At 36.5% G+C, this 19,440-nt stretch overlaps 1 long non-coding RNA gene across 1 annotated transcript in view; it reads right to left on the minus strand.

Moving 5' to 3' along the window:
• LOC107984371 (uncharacterized) overlaps positions 1 to 19,440 on the minus strand; it is a 63,332-nt gene that overhangs the window by 13,900 nt on the left and 29,992 nt on the right. The window contains exon 2 of the long non-coding RNA XR_001748074.1: positions 18,519 to 18,596. This is a non-coding gene — a long non-coding RNA (uncharacterized LOC107984371). The remainder of the gene's footprint in view (positions 1 to 18,518; positions 18,597 to 19,440) is intronic.

A 19,440-nucleotide genomic window follows, 5' to 3' on the forward strand; every position in this document is an offset into this window, starting at 1 on the left:
AATAAAGGAGTCACTAGTATTAAAGTAAGTCCAAAACCCAGCAAGAAAATTTTCATTAGGTTTCAAGACCTAAGAACAATCTCTGTGGCTTCATGATCTGTCCTGGGGACCAGGGCAGCAGTCCCACCTTCTATCACTGAGGTGGCAGTTTTACCCTCTAAGACTTGCAAGGCAGTGGCAACCCTGCCTTCTGAATAGCCCATTCTATGTTTGCAGATCCTGAAAGTCTGATAATCCTCCTTCATATTTCCCTATTTCCAATCTGTTATCTTCAAGGTAGGTTTGTTTCTGCCGTTATTCTCAAAATCCTTTCCAGCCTTCTGGGAATGTAAAAGTGATCCACACCATTACACATGAGGGCTCTCCAGAGATCCTTTCTATGTAGCCCCATCTCTATTCCTGACTTTTACTGGTATTGGTCATTGACTCTATAATCACATGCCTAATGTCTTCAGGAAAATATTGTACAGCCATACACTTAGTGTTATCTCCAGAAAGTGTGCAACTTTTACAATATGGATAGGCTGAAGATTTTCCAAATCATCAAACCTTTTCTTCCCTGTGACATACCCTACCTAAATTTATCTCTTTTCTCTCACATTTTACTGTAAGTAGCAAAGAGAAACCAGACAACACCCTCCCTAATTGGCTTGGAAATCTCCTCAGATAAATATCCAGATTCCTCACTTATAAGTCTGACTTTCCATTCAACAGTATAACACAATTAAGCCAACATTTTTGCCACTTTATAACATCATTGCCTTTACTCCAGTTTCCAGTTTCCAATATCATGTTTCTCATTGCTCATTTTCTTGTGTGACCTCACCAGAAGCATCTTTGATGTTCATATTTCCACCAACTTTCTGTTCGTGGTACATGTATCCTCTAAAGTGATAGAAAATTCTTCTAATGTGCTCCTCACAGCTATCTCAGTTCTCATCAGAATCATATTTAACATCTTTAAACATTTTTAATCATCTTTAACAATATCTACCAGCCATTTATCTAAGGAATCTGGGCTTTTTCTATCAAGTACTTTAGCCTCTGCCCAATTCTAAAGCCATTTCACATTTTTAGGTAGTTGATACAGCAGCTCCTGCTTCTCAGTATCAAAATCTATATTAGTTTCTCAAACTGTTGTAACAGAGTTTCACAAACTGAGTGGCCAAAATAACAAGTGTATTCTGCTCCAGTCCCAGAAATAAGAAGTCAGAAATCAAGGTGTTGGTAAGGCCATACTTTCTCTGAAAACTCTAAGGGAGGTTCCTTCCTTTTCTCTCCTATCTTCTGGTGGTTGCCGGAAATCCTTGGCTTCCTTGGCTTATACCTGCATGATTCAAATTTCTGCCCCCATCTTCACATGGTCATATTTCCTCTGTGAGTGTTTGTGTTTCTTCACACAGCCTCTTAATAAGAATACTAGTCATTAGATCTAGCATTCGTCCTAATGAAGTATGACTTCATCTTACTTAACTAATTACATTTGCAAAGACCTTATTTCCAATTAAGATCAATTATGAGAGAGTGGGGTGGACATATTTTTTTTCTTTTGGGTAGTGATGAACTGTTCAACTCAGTACACAGGACGATTTGGCAAGAAAAACTAATAAAAAGCATCTAAATTGAAAATTAAAATGTAAAAGTATTTGGAGATGACTTGATTGTATATTTAGAAAATTCTAAGAAACCCACAGAAAGACTTTTGACTTAAAAAGCAAATTTAGAAATAGTGTAGGATACAAGATCAAGATCAAAATGCAAGTGTCAATGAACAGTCTAAAATGAAATAAAAAATAGTTCTGTTTTTAAAAGTATAAAAAAGGATAAAATATTTAGGGATATACCTAACCAAAAATTTCAAGATTTGTACATTGAAACTATAAAACATTGTTGAAAGGTTCTAAAGAACATTTAAATGAATTAAAAACATGCTGTGTCCATAAATTGGAAGATTATAAATTGTTAAGATGGCATTCCGCCACATATTTATCTGCAAATTCAACACAATCCCATAAAAATCACAGTTTTCTTTTTATTTTTCTAATATTGACAATCTAATTCCCAAATATATAAAAATGTAAGGGACTCAGAATAGTTGTATGCATCTAGAAAAGGGAGAAGAAAATTGGACATTCTCATTTTCTGATTTCAAAACTTAGAAAAAGCTACAGTAATCAATACAGTGTGGTACTGGCATAAGAATAAATACATGCATTTTTAAAATCCCATTCTTACCCATTACCTTTGTTATGCTTGTTATCTCAGTGGTATATTCCATCCCATTGAGATACATATATATACATGCATATATTATATACATAATACATATATACACAAATATATCAATAATTTATATATTTATAAAGGGAGAGAGAGAGAAATGAGATAGAATTGCAAGCCCAGAAATAACGCTTTACATTTATGGTCAATTGACTTTTGACAAGGGTACTAAGGCAATTCAATGAGAAAAATATATTCAACAAACTGTACTCGAACAACAGGGTAAACACCTGATAAAGAGTAAGTTGGACTCCAACCCATGCCAAGCGAAAAAGAAACTCAAGGCTGGGCGCAGTGGCTCACGCCTGTAATCCCAGCACTTTGGGAGGCCGACGCGGAAGGATCATGAGGTCGGGAAATCGAGACCATCCTGGCTAACACGGTGAAACCCCGTCTCTACTAAAAATACAAAAAAAAAAAATTAGCCGGGCATGGTGGCAGGCGCCTGTAGTCCCAGCTACTCAGGAGGCTGAGGCAGGAGAATGGCGTGAACCCGGGAGGCGGGGCTTGCGGTGAGCCGAGATCACGCCACTGCACTCCAGCCTGGGTGACTGAGCGAGACTCCGTCTCAAACAAATAAACAAACAAACAAAAAACTCAAAATTGATCTAAGATCTAAAAGTGTGGGCTAAACTATAAAACTCTATGAAGAAAATGTAGGTGTAAATCTTTGTGACCTGATGTTAGGCATGTTGGTTCCTAAAGTGACACCAAAAGGACAAGGAACAAAAAAAAATTAGTTGTGTTGTACTTTAAAATGTAAAACTTTTGACCTGCAAACAATACCATCAAACAAGTGAACAGACAGTCCACATAATGGGAGAAAGCATTTTCAAGTCACCTGATAAGAGGTTTGGGTCAGGGATATAAGGACCCATTACAACTCCATAATAAAAAGTGAACAAAGAGGATATAAATAAAAATTTCCCCCAAAATATATACAAATGGCAAACAAAGACAGGAAAACGTGCTGAACATCAGTAGTCATCAGAGAAAGGCAAGTCAAAACCACATTAAGAGAACTTCTTCATAACCACTAGGATGGTTATAATAAAAAAGGCAATAAAAAGTGTGGATGAGGATGTGGAGAAATTGGACGTCCCATGCATTGCTATTGAAAATATAATATTGTGCTGCTATTTTAGAAACCAGTTTGGCAGTTCTTCAAATGTTGTCATGGAGTTGCCACATGATGCAGCAATTCTACTCTTAAGCATATATCCAAATCACAGCATGTATCCACCCAAAAACTTGTGCACAAATATTTACAGCAGCCTACTTATAATAGCAAAAACATAGAAACTATCCAATTGTTCATCGGCTGATAATGGATAAAATAATATTTGGTATATTAATAAAGCAAAAACTTACTTCTCAATAAAATGGAATAAAACATGGGTAACATGCCACAACATGGATGAACCTTGAGAACATTACGCTAAGTGAAATAAACCAACCACAAAACATTAAATATCGTGTGATTTCATTTATGTGAAATGTTCCAAATAGGCAAATCCACAGAAACAGAAAATGGAGTAATGGTTTCCAGGGTTTCTTTTAGGGGTGATGGAAATAGTGTAAAAGTAGATTGTAGCAATGGTTTTATAATTTTGTAAATATGCTAGAAACCAATTTGTACACTGAGAAAATTTTATAGAATGTGAGTTATATCTAAATTAATCTGTTAAAAAAACTATTAGAATGAGAAAGCTTTAGTCATGTAGAATTTTGTAAAATGTTCATAGGTTAAAGGCCACATTTGCCATAAAGAGTAATCTTCGATGATTCTGTTTTAGAGTAAAACTCTAAGTCTGTTAAAATAATTGCTCTTATAGTCTATGCTGTACATTGAATATTTAATATATTTGTTCTGTAGTAATTTTCCCACTTCCTTTTCTGATCAATTTATCTATTTTTCTTAGAATGTGCTAAATCTCTCAAGTTGGCCTAATTTACAAATTTCCTGTACTATTTACACTATTCTAAGAGAAAGTCAAGCTGCTAATTAAGTTGGATCTAATACAAGTCTCATGACACCAACCCACTCACCCCAACAAGGTACATTTATATTCTTTTTATTGTTAGTCTTTGATCAATTTGCTCTCTGACATCTCTCTATGAAAATGACTTTATTTTTAGAAAATAGGAGCATAGAAAATGTCTCTATTGATTAGTACATAGAAAGATGAATAGGCATCTTTTGAAAATTTCAAAATTAATTCCCAGCCTGTCTCCAGTCCTCTCAAATCATATTAGTTTTAGTGCATTTAGTAGATAATTTGTATTTTACCATCAATATTTTAGAAATATGAGATTGGATGGGAATTTAAGGTTTTAGCTGTATGTGACATCCAGGAACATAATTTAAAATTGGTTCTTTTTGAGAAAAGACATTTATCCTAATTCTTTGTGACCCATTTTTTTTCTCCCATGGAAAAGAATGACCTGTGCATACTTTGAACGGCATCAGAAAACCTTCCAGTCCCACTCTGCCCTCCCATCTATGACTCATTTCTAGTAGATTAGATTAGTGGGGAGTGGTAGTGGTAATGAAATTAGACTACTAATACTCCAAACCCAACCTATGGAGTCATGTGATATAAAGTGTGGATCAACAGAATTCAGCAAATAGGGATTACAATGTGATATCCACCTTATAATCTAAAGTTCAGGTTTCCTAATAAAGCTGTATTGGATAATACTGCAATTCCTTCCTCACTGAATTGAATCTATCAATCTATCCATCTAATCAAATGCAGTACAACTGCAGAAGTGAAACTTCTCTAATACAGTCTGTGTCTGGTGCAAGGTGGGTAGGGATACTGATGGCCAACTGTAATAAGCAGGAATAGGAAAAATGAATTTACTCCAAATCAGTGCCAATAGATCCAAGACAGAAATAGCAAGATCTGAAAGGCCAGGACACAGTTTACCTCTGCTCCAATTTCATCAATCAGAAATATCATTCTTCCTTCATGAATGGGAGAAATTTAATGAAAATAGAAGAAGACTGGAGGTGTCTTCCAATACTATTTCCTTCTTGGTGGTGAGGAAGGAAATTCTCACATCCATCTACTTCCTTGGAAAAAACTGTATGTTAATCAGGGGGTCCCTCCTTTTCCCCAACAACTGAACAGTCTACTGGACAGGCACTGGTCAACTCTTTGGTCAATGGTGTCTGCCTCATTCCAGTGCCTTAAAGTGCAGACTGTTATATAGTTATGTGTCTGGTAAACTATGGAATCTTTCCTGTCTCTCTAACAATCAGAATCTTCTTTCTTGCTCTACTGATTTTGGAATCTCTCCCTTTATCTGATATCAAGATATTAACTCTCTTGGTCTCTGTCTCTCACTTACTTTTTATTTTCTCTCCTGCCTCAGCTTCACACCACTTTTCCAGGGACACATTTCAGTTAATTCTTACCCCAGGTAAGACCTCTGGGACTTCAACGCCAATCCAGAGCCTGATCATGCTTATCCAGGAGAGAAGAAGGAAAATGAGTTTCATCGAGATTCAAATTCAAATTGTTTATTTTTTCCTAAGATGGCAGATTGGAAGCAGTATTAGCATGCCTCTCTCATTTAAAAAGACAAAATAGCGTGTAGAGATTCACACTGCTTTTTTTTTTTTTTTTTTTAAAGAAGCAATGCAGGGATTTAACAGGAAAGCTGAAAGAATCCAAAGACCCTTTGAAAGAAGCAGTGGGCAGCAGCCTACACCATGAGCCAGGCAAAAAACTGTAAGTCCTCAGAGTGTGAGTTGGGAGAGACTGCCTCCAGGATATACACCTCTCCATTGGGGAACCTAGAAATCCAAGTCACAGGGGAAGGCCCTTAATCTTACCCAGTGCTGGCAATGATATAGGCAGTGGTGAGGAATATAAAAGGAGAAACAGCAGTGAGAAGAGCCTTGTGTGCATTCCCAGTCTCCAGCATGGATCAAGGGAAGCCATTTCTTATTCTGTGTCACAGGGGACTTCACAGAATTCTACCAACTAACTCAGGCAGTGGTCATAGGTTAAAAGAAACTCCCACCTGAATTTTGCAATATGACCTCAAGGGGGGATGAAGTCCCTTGGCCAGAACTGAATCAGGGGTAGTGTGAGTGGAAGTGTGCTGCAGCCATGAGTGCAAGAGCTGGGGTGCCCCAGCTTTGTGGTTAGACTGGGAGGGGTGTGGCCTGAAAGCTGGGATAGCTACTTCCCTGAGGAAGGCTTATGGCCTGAGGCAGTTTTGAGTTCTAATCGAAAATGACCTGGAACTTAACTCACTGCTGCTAGCAGAATACTGCAGATGTGAGATCTGCCTTACCAAGTATCTGGGAGCTGGTTGGGGGTTACCGGCACCTGCTACTTTCCACTCCCTCTGCAACATTTTCTCTGCAGCAGAAGCCAGAGAAACACCTCTCAACTCCCAGAGGGGACACTGCTTGACCCACATGTTGGGAGCCAGAGGACAGATCTGCCTCACCCAGCCCCCACCTGGGTTTGTTCCTCTGCCTCCCCTAGTAGCTCAACACAAAGGACAGAAACTTTTGGGAGCTTTATGGCCCTGCCCATCACCTGAGAAACAAGAGTATCTCCCCTGGATAACATAAGGCAAGTATGTATCCTACCATTACTACTGCAGCTGGTATTTTTCCAGCTGCAGTAGGAAGGTGCAAGTACCACCTCTTGGCTAGAGGTCAACCGACACAGTCCATTACAGCATCTCCAGGTAAAATAACGTAGCACTCAGGAAGGATAAAAATTGTGTATGGCCTTGGTTATTACCATTGCCCACCCTACCCTGGCTAATGAGAAGGTCTGAAGTCTGTCCACACGACTAGTTCATTACTATCACAACCAGCATTTGAGAAAGCCAACACACCAAAGCTATCCCTAATTAAGGAATCTCAGAGTCTGTATCACTCCCCTGCCACACCCATCAGAGCTGCTGCTGGGAGACTTGGTGACAATCTACATCAGTGGATCCCTTGCAGACATTCCCCAGCACCAACCTGGAGTGTGGTAACCCCACTGGGCAGCTAGACCCAGAGGAGCAGCAGTATTCACAGTAGCTTGGTTCTCAGGGATCCCTACTCCTAGAGGAAGGAGAGTGCACCACATCAAGAGAACACCCTATAGGATGAAAGAATCCAGATGGCAGTCCTTGAGTCCCAAATCTTTCAGCTGGTGGGAAGTTTCTTTCAACAGAGGCACAGGTGTAGTACAGAGTTCAGCAAGGAGAATCTGCAGCTCTACCGCAAGAGTCAGGCAGCGCTGGTGCTTGTCAAGGGTCTTGGAGAAGGTGACTTATTTTGCCTTTCATCCACCACTACAGACACAGCTGGGGCTTCTCTCACAGGAAGCAGATAGATAGATAAGCATATATATGCATATACAGATATAAATATATATAAGCATATATATAAGCATATATAGATATAAATATATATAAGCATATATATATATATATATATATATATATATATATATATATATATCTTACAGGAAGAATGGGTGCATATATAGACAGCCTTTCTGGACTGTGGTGATTACATCCCCATCACAGGTGCACCCTCCAGGTTCAGGCTTGCACAAGGGGAAATGTCACAATTCCTCTCTGCTTGGAACATAAATATCCAGCAGATGAAAAGAGGTGGCTGTCTGATCTGAATAGCTGGAATACTGGGTCAGGAGTGTTTCTGGGAAGTGGATAGGTTTCCTGCTGACCTGGCAAGGGAACTGAGGTGGCTCCTACTCTCCCCTCTGTTAAGACTTCAGTGCATTTCACTGACAGCTTCTCTAACCACCTCTGTCAAAGCTGGGACTTCTGCCCATCATTGGATATTGCATTCACCCACTGGGTTTAGCCATAACCAGTTTCTACTTGAAGACATCTCCAGATGTTTAGGCTTGAATCCTGAACTATTCAATCCAGTAAATAAAATACTAGGGGAAATATAAATATATAAAAAATACATACCATGGGAGAATGAGATAAGCTTCAAAAGAACTTATGTAAAGTCTTCAACCCTTAAAGCACCAAGAGCTGAATGAGGCTATAATAAACTATAAACATAAAAGTCACATCATTAAGGGGAAAAAGGAATGATAAAAAATACCGTCAAATAAAAAATAATTTCAAAAATAAGAAGTCTATGCAAATGAGAAGGAACCAGAAACATAATTTTCATAATATGACAGATCTGTAGCACTCCCAAAAGATCACCCTTAGCCCTCCAGCAGTCAATCCAAACCAAGATTAAGTCATTGAAATACCAGATAAAGAATTCAAATGGTTAATTATTAAGCTGCTCAAGAAGATACCAGAGAAAGATGAAAGCCTATATAAAAAAATTTAAAAAATCAAAAATGAATGAAAATTTTTCTAAAAAGATAGATGTCATAAGGAAAAACCAATCAGAACTGCTGGAAATGAAATGAATTACAAGATGTATTGGAAGTGTTAATAATAAAGTAGAACAAGTAAAAGAAAGAATGTCAGTGCTCAAAGACAGGGCTTTTTAATTAACCCAATCAGATAAAAATAAAGCAAAATGAATCAAAAGAAATGAACAAAGTCTCCAAGAATCTGTAAGATGGCCAACCCTAAGAATAATCGGTATTCCTGAGGGAGACGAGAAAGCAAAATGTTTGGAAAATTTATTTGAGGAAATGATCGAGATAAACTTCCCTGGCCTTGCTAGAGATTTAGATATCCAAATACAAGAAGTGCACAGAATTCCTGGGAGATTAGTTGCAAAAAAGTCATCACCAAGGTGTATAGTTATCAAGCTATGTAAAGTCAATATAAAGGAAAAATTCTAATAGCAATTAGACAAAAGCATCAGATAACTCATAAAGGAAAACCTATCAGACTAACAGCAGTCTTCTCAGCACAAACCGTAGAAGCCAGAAGAAATTGGGGTATTATCCTTAGCCTCCTTCATACAGAATAACTGTCAGTGAATAACTTTGTATCCAGAAAAATTAAGTTTCATAAATGAAGGAGAAATAAAATTATTTACAGATAAATGCTGAGAGAATTTGTCACTACCACAGTACCCTTACAAAAAATTCTAAGAAGTTATAAATCTTGACATAAACGTCTTATATGCACCAAAACAGAACTTTTCAAAGGCACAAAACTCAGAGGGCCTATAAAACAATTACACAATGAAAACAAATAAGTATATAGGTAACAATGAACAGGATTAATTGAAGAGTACCACACATCTTAATAACTTTGTTGAATATAATTGGCCTAAATGCTCCACTTATGTAATATAGATTGTTAGAATGGATTAAAAAATGACAAACCAAATATATGCTGTCTTCAAGAGACTCATCTAACAAAGAAAGATTCATATAAACTCAAGGTACAGGGGTAGAAAAACAGATTCCATGCAAATGAACACCAAACGCAAGCAGGAATAGCTATTCTTATATCAGATGAAACAGGCCTTAAAGCAGCAACAGAAAAAAAAGACAAAGAATGTCATTTTATATTGATGGAAGAATCAGTCCAACAAGATGACATTACAAATCTAAATTCATATGCACCTAACATTGGAGCTTCCAGATTTATAAAATGATTACTACTAGACCTAAGAAATGAGATCGACAGCAACACAATAATAGTGGAGGACTTCAATATACTACTGATAGTGCTAGTCAGATCATCAGCAAAAAATGTCAACAAAGAAACAATAGCCTAATGTACACTCTAAAATAAATGAACTTGACAGATGTTTACATAACATTCTACCTAAGAACAGCAGAATATACATTGTTCTTATCATGACACAGAACATTCTCTTAACTAGACCATATGATAGGCCACAAAACAACTCTCAATGAATTTTAAAAATTGAAATCATATCAAGTACATAAAGAGATTAATCTAGATATCTACTTTAAAAGGAACCTCCAAGACAAAACAAACATGTAAAAATTAAACGATCTGCTCCTGAATTATTTCATGGTTAATCATGAAATCAAGATGAAAATTTAAAAATTCTTTGAAATGAATAATAATAGTGTCACAAGTTATCAAATCCTCTGGGACCCAGCAAAAGCAGTGCTAAGAAGAAAGTTTACAGTGCTAAATGCCTACATTAAAAAGTCTAAAGGATCACAAATTGACAACCTAATACTGTACTTCAGAGAAACAAGGACAAACTAAACCCAAAGCTAGCAAAAGAAAACAAATAACAAATATCAGAGCAGAAATAAGTGAAATTAAAACAGAAAACACACAAAAGATCAATGAAACAGAAAGATGGTTCTTTGAAGAGATAGAAATAATTGATAAGCCATTAGCTATATTAACCAAGAAATCATTCAAATAAGCTCAATTAGAAATGAACTTGTAGACATTACCACCAATACCACATAAATAATAAAGATGGTTTGTGACTACCATGAACATCTCTATGCACACAAAGTAGAACACCTAGAAGAAATGGACAAATTCATGGAAACATACAACCCTCCTAGATTAAGTCAGGAAGAAATATAAATCCTGAGTAAACCAGTAACAAGCAGTAAGATTGAATCAGTAATAAAAAATTTGCCATCGAAAAAAGAACAGAGGCCCAGATGGATTCACAGGTGAATCCTACTAGACATTCAAAGAAGAATTAGTACCAATTCTACTGAAACTATTCCAAAAGATTGAGAAAGAGGTAATCCTCCCTAAGTCATTACTTGAAACCAGTATCACCCTGATACACAAACCAGGAAAGAACATATCAAAGAAGGAAAACTACAGGCCAATACCTTGGATGAACATAGATGCAGATATCTTCAACAAAATACCAGCTAACCCAATCCAATAGCACATCAAAAATAATAATAATAATACATCATGATCAGGTGGGTTTCATCCCAGGGATGCAGGGATGGCTTAACATATGCAAGTCAATAAATGTGATACATCACATAAATAGAATTAAAAACAAAAACCATATGATCATCTCAATAGATGCAGAAAAAGCATTTGAAAAAATCCAGCATCCATTTAAAATAAAAGCCCTAAAAAAACTAGGCATAGAAGTGACATACCTCAAAATAATAAAATCTGTATATAAGAAACCCACTGCCAACATCATACTGAATGGGGAAAAGTTGAAAACATTCTCCCTGAGAACTGGAACAAGATAAGGAGGCTCACTTGCACCCCTCTATTCAACATAGTGCTAGAAGTTCTAGCCAGAGTAATCAAGCAAGAGAAGGTAAAAAAGAGAATCCAAATTGGAAAAGAGGAAGTCAAACTATCACTGCTCATGGATGATGTGATTTTTTACCTAGAAAACCCTAATGACATTTCCAAAAACTCCAAGATTTGACAAATAAATTTAGTGAAGTCTCAGGTTACAAAATCAAGGTACCCAAATCTGCTATACACCAGAAATGGCCAAACTGAGAATCAAATTAAGAACTCAATCTCTTTTTGCAATGGCTGCAAAAATAAAATAAAATAAAATACCTAGAAATTTACTTAACCAAGGAGTTAAAAGGTCTGTACAAGGAGAACTAAAAAACACTATGAGAGAAATCACAGATGGCACAAACAAATGGAAACACATTCCATGCCCATGGATGGGAAGAATCAATATTGTGAAAATGACCATGCTGCCCAAAGCAATATACAGATTGAATGCAATTCCATCAAAATACCAACATCATTCTTCACAGAATTAGGGATAATATCCTAAAATACATATGGAATCAAAAAAAGAGCCAGAATAGCCAAAGCAATCCTAAGCATAAAGAACAAACCTAGAGACATAATGTTACCAGACTTCATATTATACTTCAAGGCTAAAATTACCAAAACAGCATGATACTGGTATAAAAATAGGCATATAGACAACTGTAACAGAATGGAGAACCCAGAAATAAAGCCAAATACTTACAGCCCACTGATCTTCAATAAAGCATGCAAGAATATAAATTGGGGAAAGACACCCTATTTAGCAAATGGTGGTGGGAAAACTGGCTAGCCACATGTAGAAGAAGGAAACTGGATTCCTCTCATCTAATAAAAACAACTCAAGATGTACCAAATACTTAAATCTAGTATCTGAAACCATAAAAATTATATAAGTAGCCTTGGAAAACACTCTTCTGGACATGTCCAGAAAAGCAATTCATCATGAAGACCTCAAAAGCTAATGCAACAAAAACAAAAGTAGATAAATGGGACCTAACTAAGCTAAAAAGCTTCTGCACAGTAAAAAAAAAAAAAAAAAAAAAAAAATCATCTGAGTAAATAAACATCTTACAGAATGGGAGAATATATTTGCATATCCTGCATCCAACAAAAGACTAGTATCCAGAAACTACAAGGAACTCAAACAAACCAACAAGAAAAAAAAACAAAAAAAACACATCATCCCATGAAAAAGTGGGCAAATTACACGACCAGTCATTTCTCCAAAGAAAATATACAAATGACCAACAAATGTGTGAAAACATTCTCAACATCACTAATCATCAGGGAATGCAAATTAAAACTACAATGAGATTCCACTTTATTCCTGCTAGAGTGGCCATTGTTAAAAAGTCAAAACCCAATATATGTTGGCATAGATGTGATGAAAAGGGAATGCTTATATACTGCTGATTGGAAAGTAAATTACTACTACCTCTCTGGAAAACAGTATGGAGATTCCTTAAAGAACTAACAGTAGATATACCATTTCATCCAGCAATTTCAGTGCTGGCTATCTTCCCAAAGGAAAAGAAGTCATTATATAATGCTATATAACATTATATAACAAAGACACATTCACACATATGTTTATTGCGGCACAATTTACAATTGCAAAGATGTAGAACCAACCTAACTGCCCATCGACCAGTGAGTGGATAAAGGAAATGTGATGTAATAATAAAAGGAACAAAATACTATATTTTGCAGCAACTTGGATGGAGCTGGAGGTCATTGTTTTAAGTGAAATAACTCGGGAAAGGAAAACCAAATACCATATGTTCTCACATATAAGTGGGAGATAAGCTATGTGCACACAAAGACATACAGATTGATGTAAGGGACTTTGAGATTCAACAGGGGGAGAGGAGAGAAGGGGAGTGTGGGATTTAAAAACTGCATATTACAAACAATGTACACTACTCAGGTGACAGGTGCACTAAACCTCATAATTCACCACTATATAATTTATCCATGTATCCAAAAGCTACTTGTATCCCAAAAGCCACTGAAATAAAAATATTTAAATAAGATTTTAAAAAATTAATGTTTATCGGGCATCCACTGTATCTCAGACAACTCTTAGCCTTTTTCAACATCCCTATAAAACTTTTATTCAAAAGCATAGATTATAATAGATAATACTTGTTGTTTTTCATATATCAGTCTTACTCTAAATAATTTACATGTTAACACACTTAATCCTTATGCTAAATTCATGAGGTAAGTGCTATTTTAATTTTTATGTTAATAGTAAGGAAACAGAAGCAAAAAGGTTAAAAACCCTTTCAATATTATAGCTAGTAAATAACACAGCTGAAAATGGAACCCAAGCAAGTTTCTCCAGATGGGAAGGTTATGGTTATATGGATGAAATAACTTGACCAGCTTCACAATTGACAAAGAGTGGCACCAAAATTTAAACCCAAGACTTTCACCAATATTTTTTTCTATTGTATCTTTTTTTGCATAATAAGCCAAAAATAAGAAAAAAGAAAATAATTAGATAATATTTTTGCTTAGCAATACAAACATCTAAGTCATAGATTAAAAATTAGTTTGTACTGAATATAAATAATTCATAGGTTGTAGTTATAATTCATTCATTCACTCACTCAATAAATAGTACAGCCTATTATTACTATTATTTTTATACTTTAAGTTTGGGATGTATGTGCATAATGTGCAGGTTTGTTACATAAGTATACACAGCCTATGATTAAATCACAATGATCATATCAACCACCTCTACAAACATCTAGCAACTTTAACTACACTGAGACACTTGGCATTAGAGAGTTAATAGTGTGATACTAAATAGTAATAATAATATTTAAATTCTTAATTTGGATTGTCAAGGCATAAGGATGAAATGTTTTCAGCATAAACAGCCCTTACATGGAGAAACCAGAAGGTCTTCTCAGAAAGTAGTCAAGTCATTGGCTGACACACACACTGCAGAACCCATTTATTTGCCTGATACCAGCCTGTAAAATGCAAACTTAACCTCTTGATCTCCTTGATGTTAAAGGACATTTCCCTCCAACTCCTCACAAAAATAATGCTCAAATTTTCATACTACAGCTAGAAAAAAAATGCACTTTTACACTGGTAACATAGAAGCTAGAATTCTCTCAGGTTCTATTTGAGGCTTACAACTCATGATTCTCGACTCCTTCCAAATACTCACCCACTCAATGCTGCCAGAATGGAGCCGGAGAGAAAAATGAGATAGATTTACCTGTAGTCACTTATTTAGACCTTCCACATTGTGTTGTATGCCCAAAAGCAAAAGTTGAGCAGCTGCATTTCTTAATTGTATTTTTTCAGTTTATTTATGCCAATGCCATGTAGAAATGTATTTCTAAGATCAAGATCTTAAGTAAAATATCACCTATATTACCCATTCTGTTAATGTATCTGATTTTCCTTAGCACTTACCATGGAGGGACTGATGACATCAAGTCTTGTCATTCAGTTATTCACCCACTTATTCATACTTTTAATCTTAAAATTACTAGATTATCATTTTTAACTCCTTCTATGCACAATTCAATACCCTATTCCTCAAAATCCACTGGTAGTTACCAAACGTTTAGGGAAGAAAGCCTCGAATCTTGCATTGCATTAAAGAATCTTCATAATCTAGTGCCTGAACATGTTTCTGCAAAAGCTTTGGCCATCAGTCTTATCCCATTTTGAAGTCCCTCTCATCCCTAGTTAAATGTTCAATGCCAGACTTCAGGACTTTCCCTGTTGACCATGGTTCCTTACAAATAGGCATTCTTCATCTTAAGTCACTTGAGGCTCTATTGGATGAAAGGTCTTGTAGGGCATCTGCTTCACTTTTATGCATTCTATTCCAGTTATCATATTGTCTTATACATATACTTTTTTAAAAAATATAAATGGTTACTTATTGATTTAATTTAAACAGTTTTTTAATTTTATTTATTTATTTATTTATTTTTTGAGACGGAGTCTCGCTCTGTCACCCAAGCTGGAGTGCAGTGGCGTGATCTCGGCTCACTGCAAGCTCCGCCTCCTGGGTTCACACCATTCTCCTGCCTCAGCCTCCTGAGTAGCTGGGACTACAGGTGCCCGCCACCACACCCGGCTAATTTTTTTTTTGTATTTTTAGTAGAGATGGGGTTTCACCGTGTTAGCCAGGATGGTCTCGATCTCCTGACCTCGTGATCTGTCTGCCTTGGCCTCCCAAAGTGCTGAGATTACAGATGTAAGCCACCATGCCCGGCTGATTTAAACAGGTTTAAATGCAAGATGGGTATGGGAATATAGAAGATGTTTACTATCTGTTACTAGTCATTGGCTTCTAGACGGTGGAAAAAAATAAATATACTACCTTTCCTTAAATTTCCTTTCCACTATCTACCTGAACAAGAGGAGCGTATGAGAAGCAAGGAAGAATAAAGTATAACACTAAGTTGCCTATGATTATGATTCATGAAATGTTAGAGATGTTATATATTACACAGGCATAGAAAATCATGAATAGGAAAGGTTGGGGAAGTTAAATTTAAAGTTGGAACTTGAGGCAAACTTTAAAAGCTATAGAGAAAGAAAGACTGAGAGAAGAATGCGTTTTGGCTGGAAAATCCAGAGGAAATGATTTGCCAGCCAATTTTCTTTTTTTTTAATTTTTTTATTTATTTTATTATTATTAAACTTTAAGTTTTAGGGTACATGTGCACAATGTGCAGGTTAGTTACATATGTGTACATGTGCCATGCTGGTGTGCTGCACCCATTAACTCGTCATTTAACATTAGGTATATCTCCTAATGCTATCCCTCCCCACTCCCCCCACCCCACAACAGTCCCCAGAGTGTGATGTTCCCCTTCCTATGTTCATGTGTTCTCATTGTTCAATTCCCACCTATGAGTGAGAACATGCGGTGTTTGGTTTTTTGTCCTTGCGACAGTTTACTGAAAATGATGATTTCCAATTTCATCCATGTCCCTACAAAGGACATGAACTCATCATTTTTTATGGTTGCATAGTATTCCATGGTGCATATGTGCCACATTTTCTTAATCCAGTCTATCATTGTTGGACATTTGGGTTGGTTCCAAGTCTTTGCTATTGTGAATAGTGGCGCAATAAACATATGTGTGTGTGTGTCTTTATAGCAGCATGATTTATAGTCCTTTGGGTATATACCCAGTAATGGGATGGCTGGGTCAAATGGTATTTCTAGTTCTAGATCTCTGAGGAATCGCCACACTGACTTCCACAATGGTTGAACTAGTTTACAGTCCCACCAACAGTGTAAAAGTGTTCCTATTTCTCCACATCCTCTCCAACACCTGTTGTTTCCTGACTTTTTAATGATCGCCATTCTAACTGGTGTGAGATGGTATCTCATTGTGGTTTTGATTTGCATTTCCCTGATGGCCAGTGATGGTGAGTATTTTTTCATGTGTTTTTTGGCTGCATAAATATCTTCTTTTGAGAAGTGTCTGTTCATGTTCTTCACCCACTTTTTGATGGGGTTGTTTTTTCTTGTAAATTTGTTTGAGTTCATTGTAGATTCTAGATATTAGCCCTTTGTCAGATGAGTAGGTTGCGAAAATTTTCTCCCATTTTGTAGGTTGCCTGTTCACTCTGATGGTAGTTTCTTTTGCTGTGCAGAAGCTCTTTAGTTTAATGACATCCCATTTGTCAATTTTGGCTTTTGTTGCCATTGCTTTTGGTGTTTTAGACATGAAGTCCTTGCCCATGCCTATGTCCTGAATGGTAATGCCTAGGTTTTCTTCTAGGGTTTTTATGGTTTTAGGTCTAATGTTTAAGTCTTTTATCCATCTTGAATTAATTTTTGTATAAGGTGTAAGGAAGGGATCCAGTTTCAGCTTTCTACATATGGCTGGACAGTTTTCCCAGCACCATTTATTAAATAGGGAATCCTTTCCCCATTGCTTGTTTTTCTCAGGTTTGTCAAAGATCAGATAGTTGTAGATATGTGGCGTTATTTCTGAGGGCTCCGTTCTGTTCAAGGCAAGGCAAACAACTGCTAGCCTGAACTCTCAACCTGGTTTTAAAATGATAGCTCTCCTTTCTGTCAGTAATTCTAATTTGAAACTAGTTCATAATGACAATTAACTTGATGCTTCAGTCAATTTCATAAAATGCCAACCACTTCCTCTAACAATTATTTCTTTCTAATCTCTACACCCTCTTACTAAAAAATCTGCTCATGTCCTCTTATTAGAAGTCAATTTTCATTATTCCTGCTGAGGGGTACTAAGATTCATTACTCTATACCCCTGGTATTGACTGATTAGAACACAGTTGGGGCCAAGCCAAACAAAACAGATTCTCTTTGTCCTGGATTCTTAAGGGGTTTAAAACAGGGATTCCATGTAATATTGTGTCAAGGATAACCATATGTCCACCAAAGGGGAGAAAGTAACCTCTTGAGACAAGGAAAAGAATGAAGCAGACATGCAAAGAGAAGCAGAGATAAGAAACCATGTACTCTCAAAAACACAGAGGAGGTAACCATTGGGGTGCTGTCTTCAGGCATATGGGAGATTCGTCTTTCTCTTGGAACCTGTGCTTTAGCCCATATGTATATTTCCTTTTGTTCCCCATTTAAGTAACCATTCCACCACACCAGGCCTCTAATCTCTTCATCCTACCACCTTTTTATTACCTCTCAACTATCTTGGTTTCCTCTCATTTCACTCTCTGTTCTGCATAAATTTCAAGGTCAATCATTAAAAGTGAACTCCTGGCTTATTTCTCACAGGGTCTTTCACCTCTCCAACTTTGCCTTTCTCTAACTTTGCCAAACAAATTTTGCTGAAACTTAAGCCCTATTTAAATCCAATTATTTAGCTATTCCATGTTTATATCATGCAGATAAAAGTGGCTAGATAAAAACTCGGAGATATTCTATATGAACCTATTTAAATATAGTGATCTCTGCTATCAAGTGGGCCTTAATGCTGCCTGATGATCTAATTACATTTCCCTGGGCCATTCGCTCTTGCAACTTTAATATGATAATTTCATACCTTTGTCTTCTGAAGTTTCTGGTCTTCATTCTCCCATTTCTCATTCTCACTCTCATATAATGATTCTGATTTTCACAACTGGAAAAAAACAAAATAAACAATTACAGAATAATTTCACAACCTGAAAAAAATAAGAAAAAATTGCAAAACAATTTCCATAAACTCCCACTCCCACCTCTCACAACTGTGCATGTGTTCTTCTTATCAAGACAGATGTAATTTCTGCAATTCTTTTTAAGATACAGGTTTCATTTGTGTAATGTATCCCATGTCTGCTCAAAAATCAAGGTCTAATGGCTTGGGTTAGTGTACATTTATATGAAGTTCTTTCTCCATCCATTCTTCTGCCTTGAATTCCAGAATCACATATCTATCTTCCCTACTCAATATCTCCTATTTCTTGCCATAAAATAAAGTTCTCTTTTATACCTCTCTTTCTTTTGTAGTCTACATTCACTTTATTAGCAAAATCTTTTACAAATCAAAACAAACAGAATGCCAGCAGTTCTCTAGTTTCCATTGCTCTGAACTGCCATCATTTCTTGCCAGAATTACTGAAATACCTTTCTGATTTGTCCCTCTGCTTATGCCTTTGCCCTCTGAAGTTTATTCTCAGCAGCCTTAAGAGTGATACTTTTAAAATATAAGTCAGATGATGGCAATATTTGTCTTAAAACCCTCCAGTATTTCTTCACTGTGCTCACAGTAAAATTCAATGTACTTCTATTAACCTACAAGCTTTTTTGTGACCCAGATCTTGTCACTTCTTTGACCTCATTCCCTACCACTCACTCTCCGAGGTATTCAGCTCCAACCATGCTACAGCACTGCTGCTGCTTCTGGATCCTATCAGGAATTCACCTGCCTCATGTTTATTAAATTTGCTTTTCTCTCTGACTAGACTTGCCTTCCCCTATATATC

The sequence above is a fragment of the Homo sapiens genome, chromosome 11 (assembly GCF_000001405.40).
Source record: "Homo sapiens chromosome 11, GRCh38.p14 Primary Assembly".
Lineage (NCBI taxonomy): Eukaryota > Metazoa > Chordata > Mammalia > Primates > Hominidae > Homo > Homo sapiens.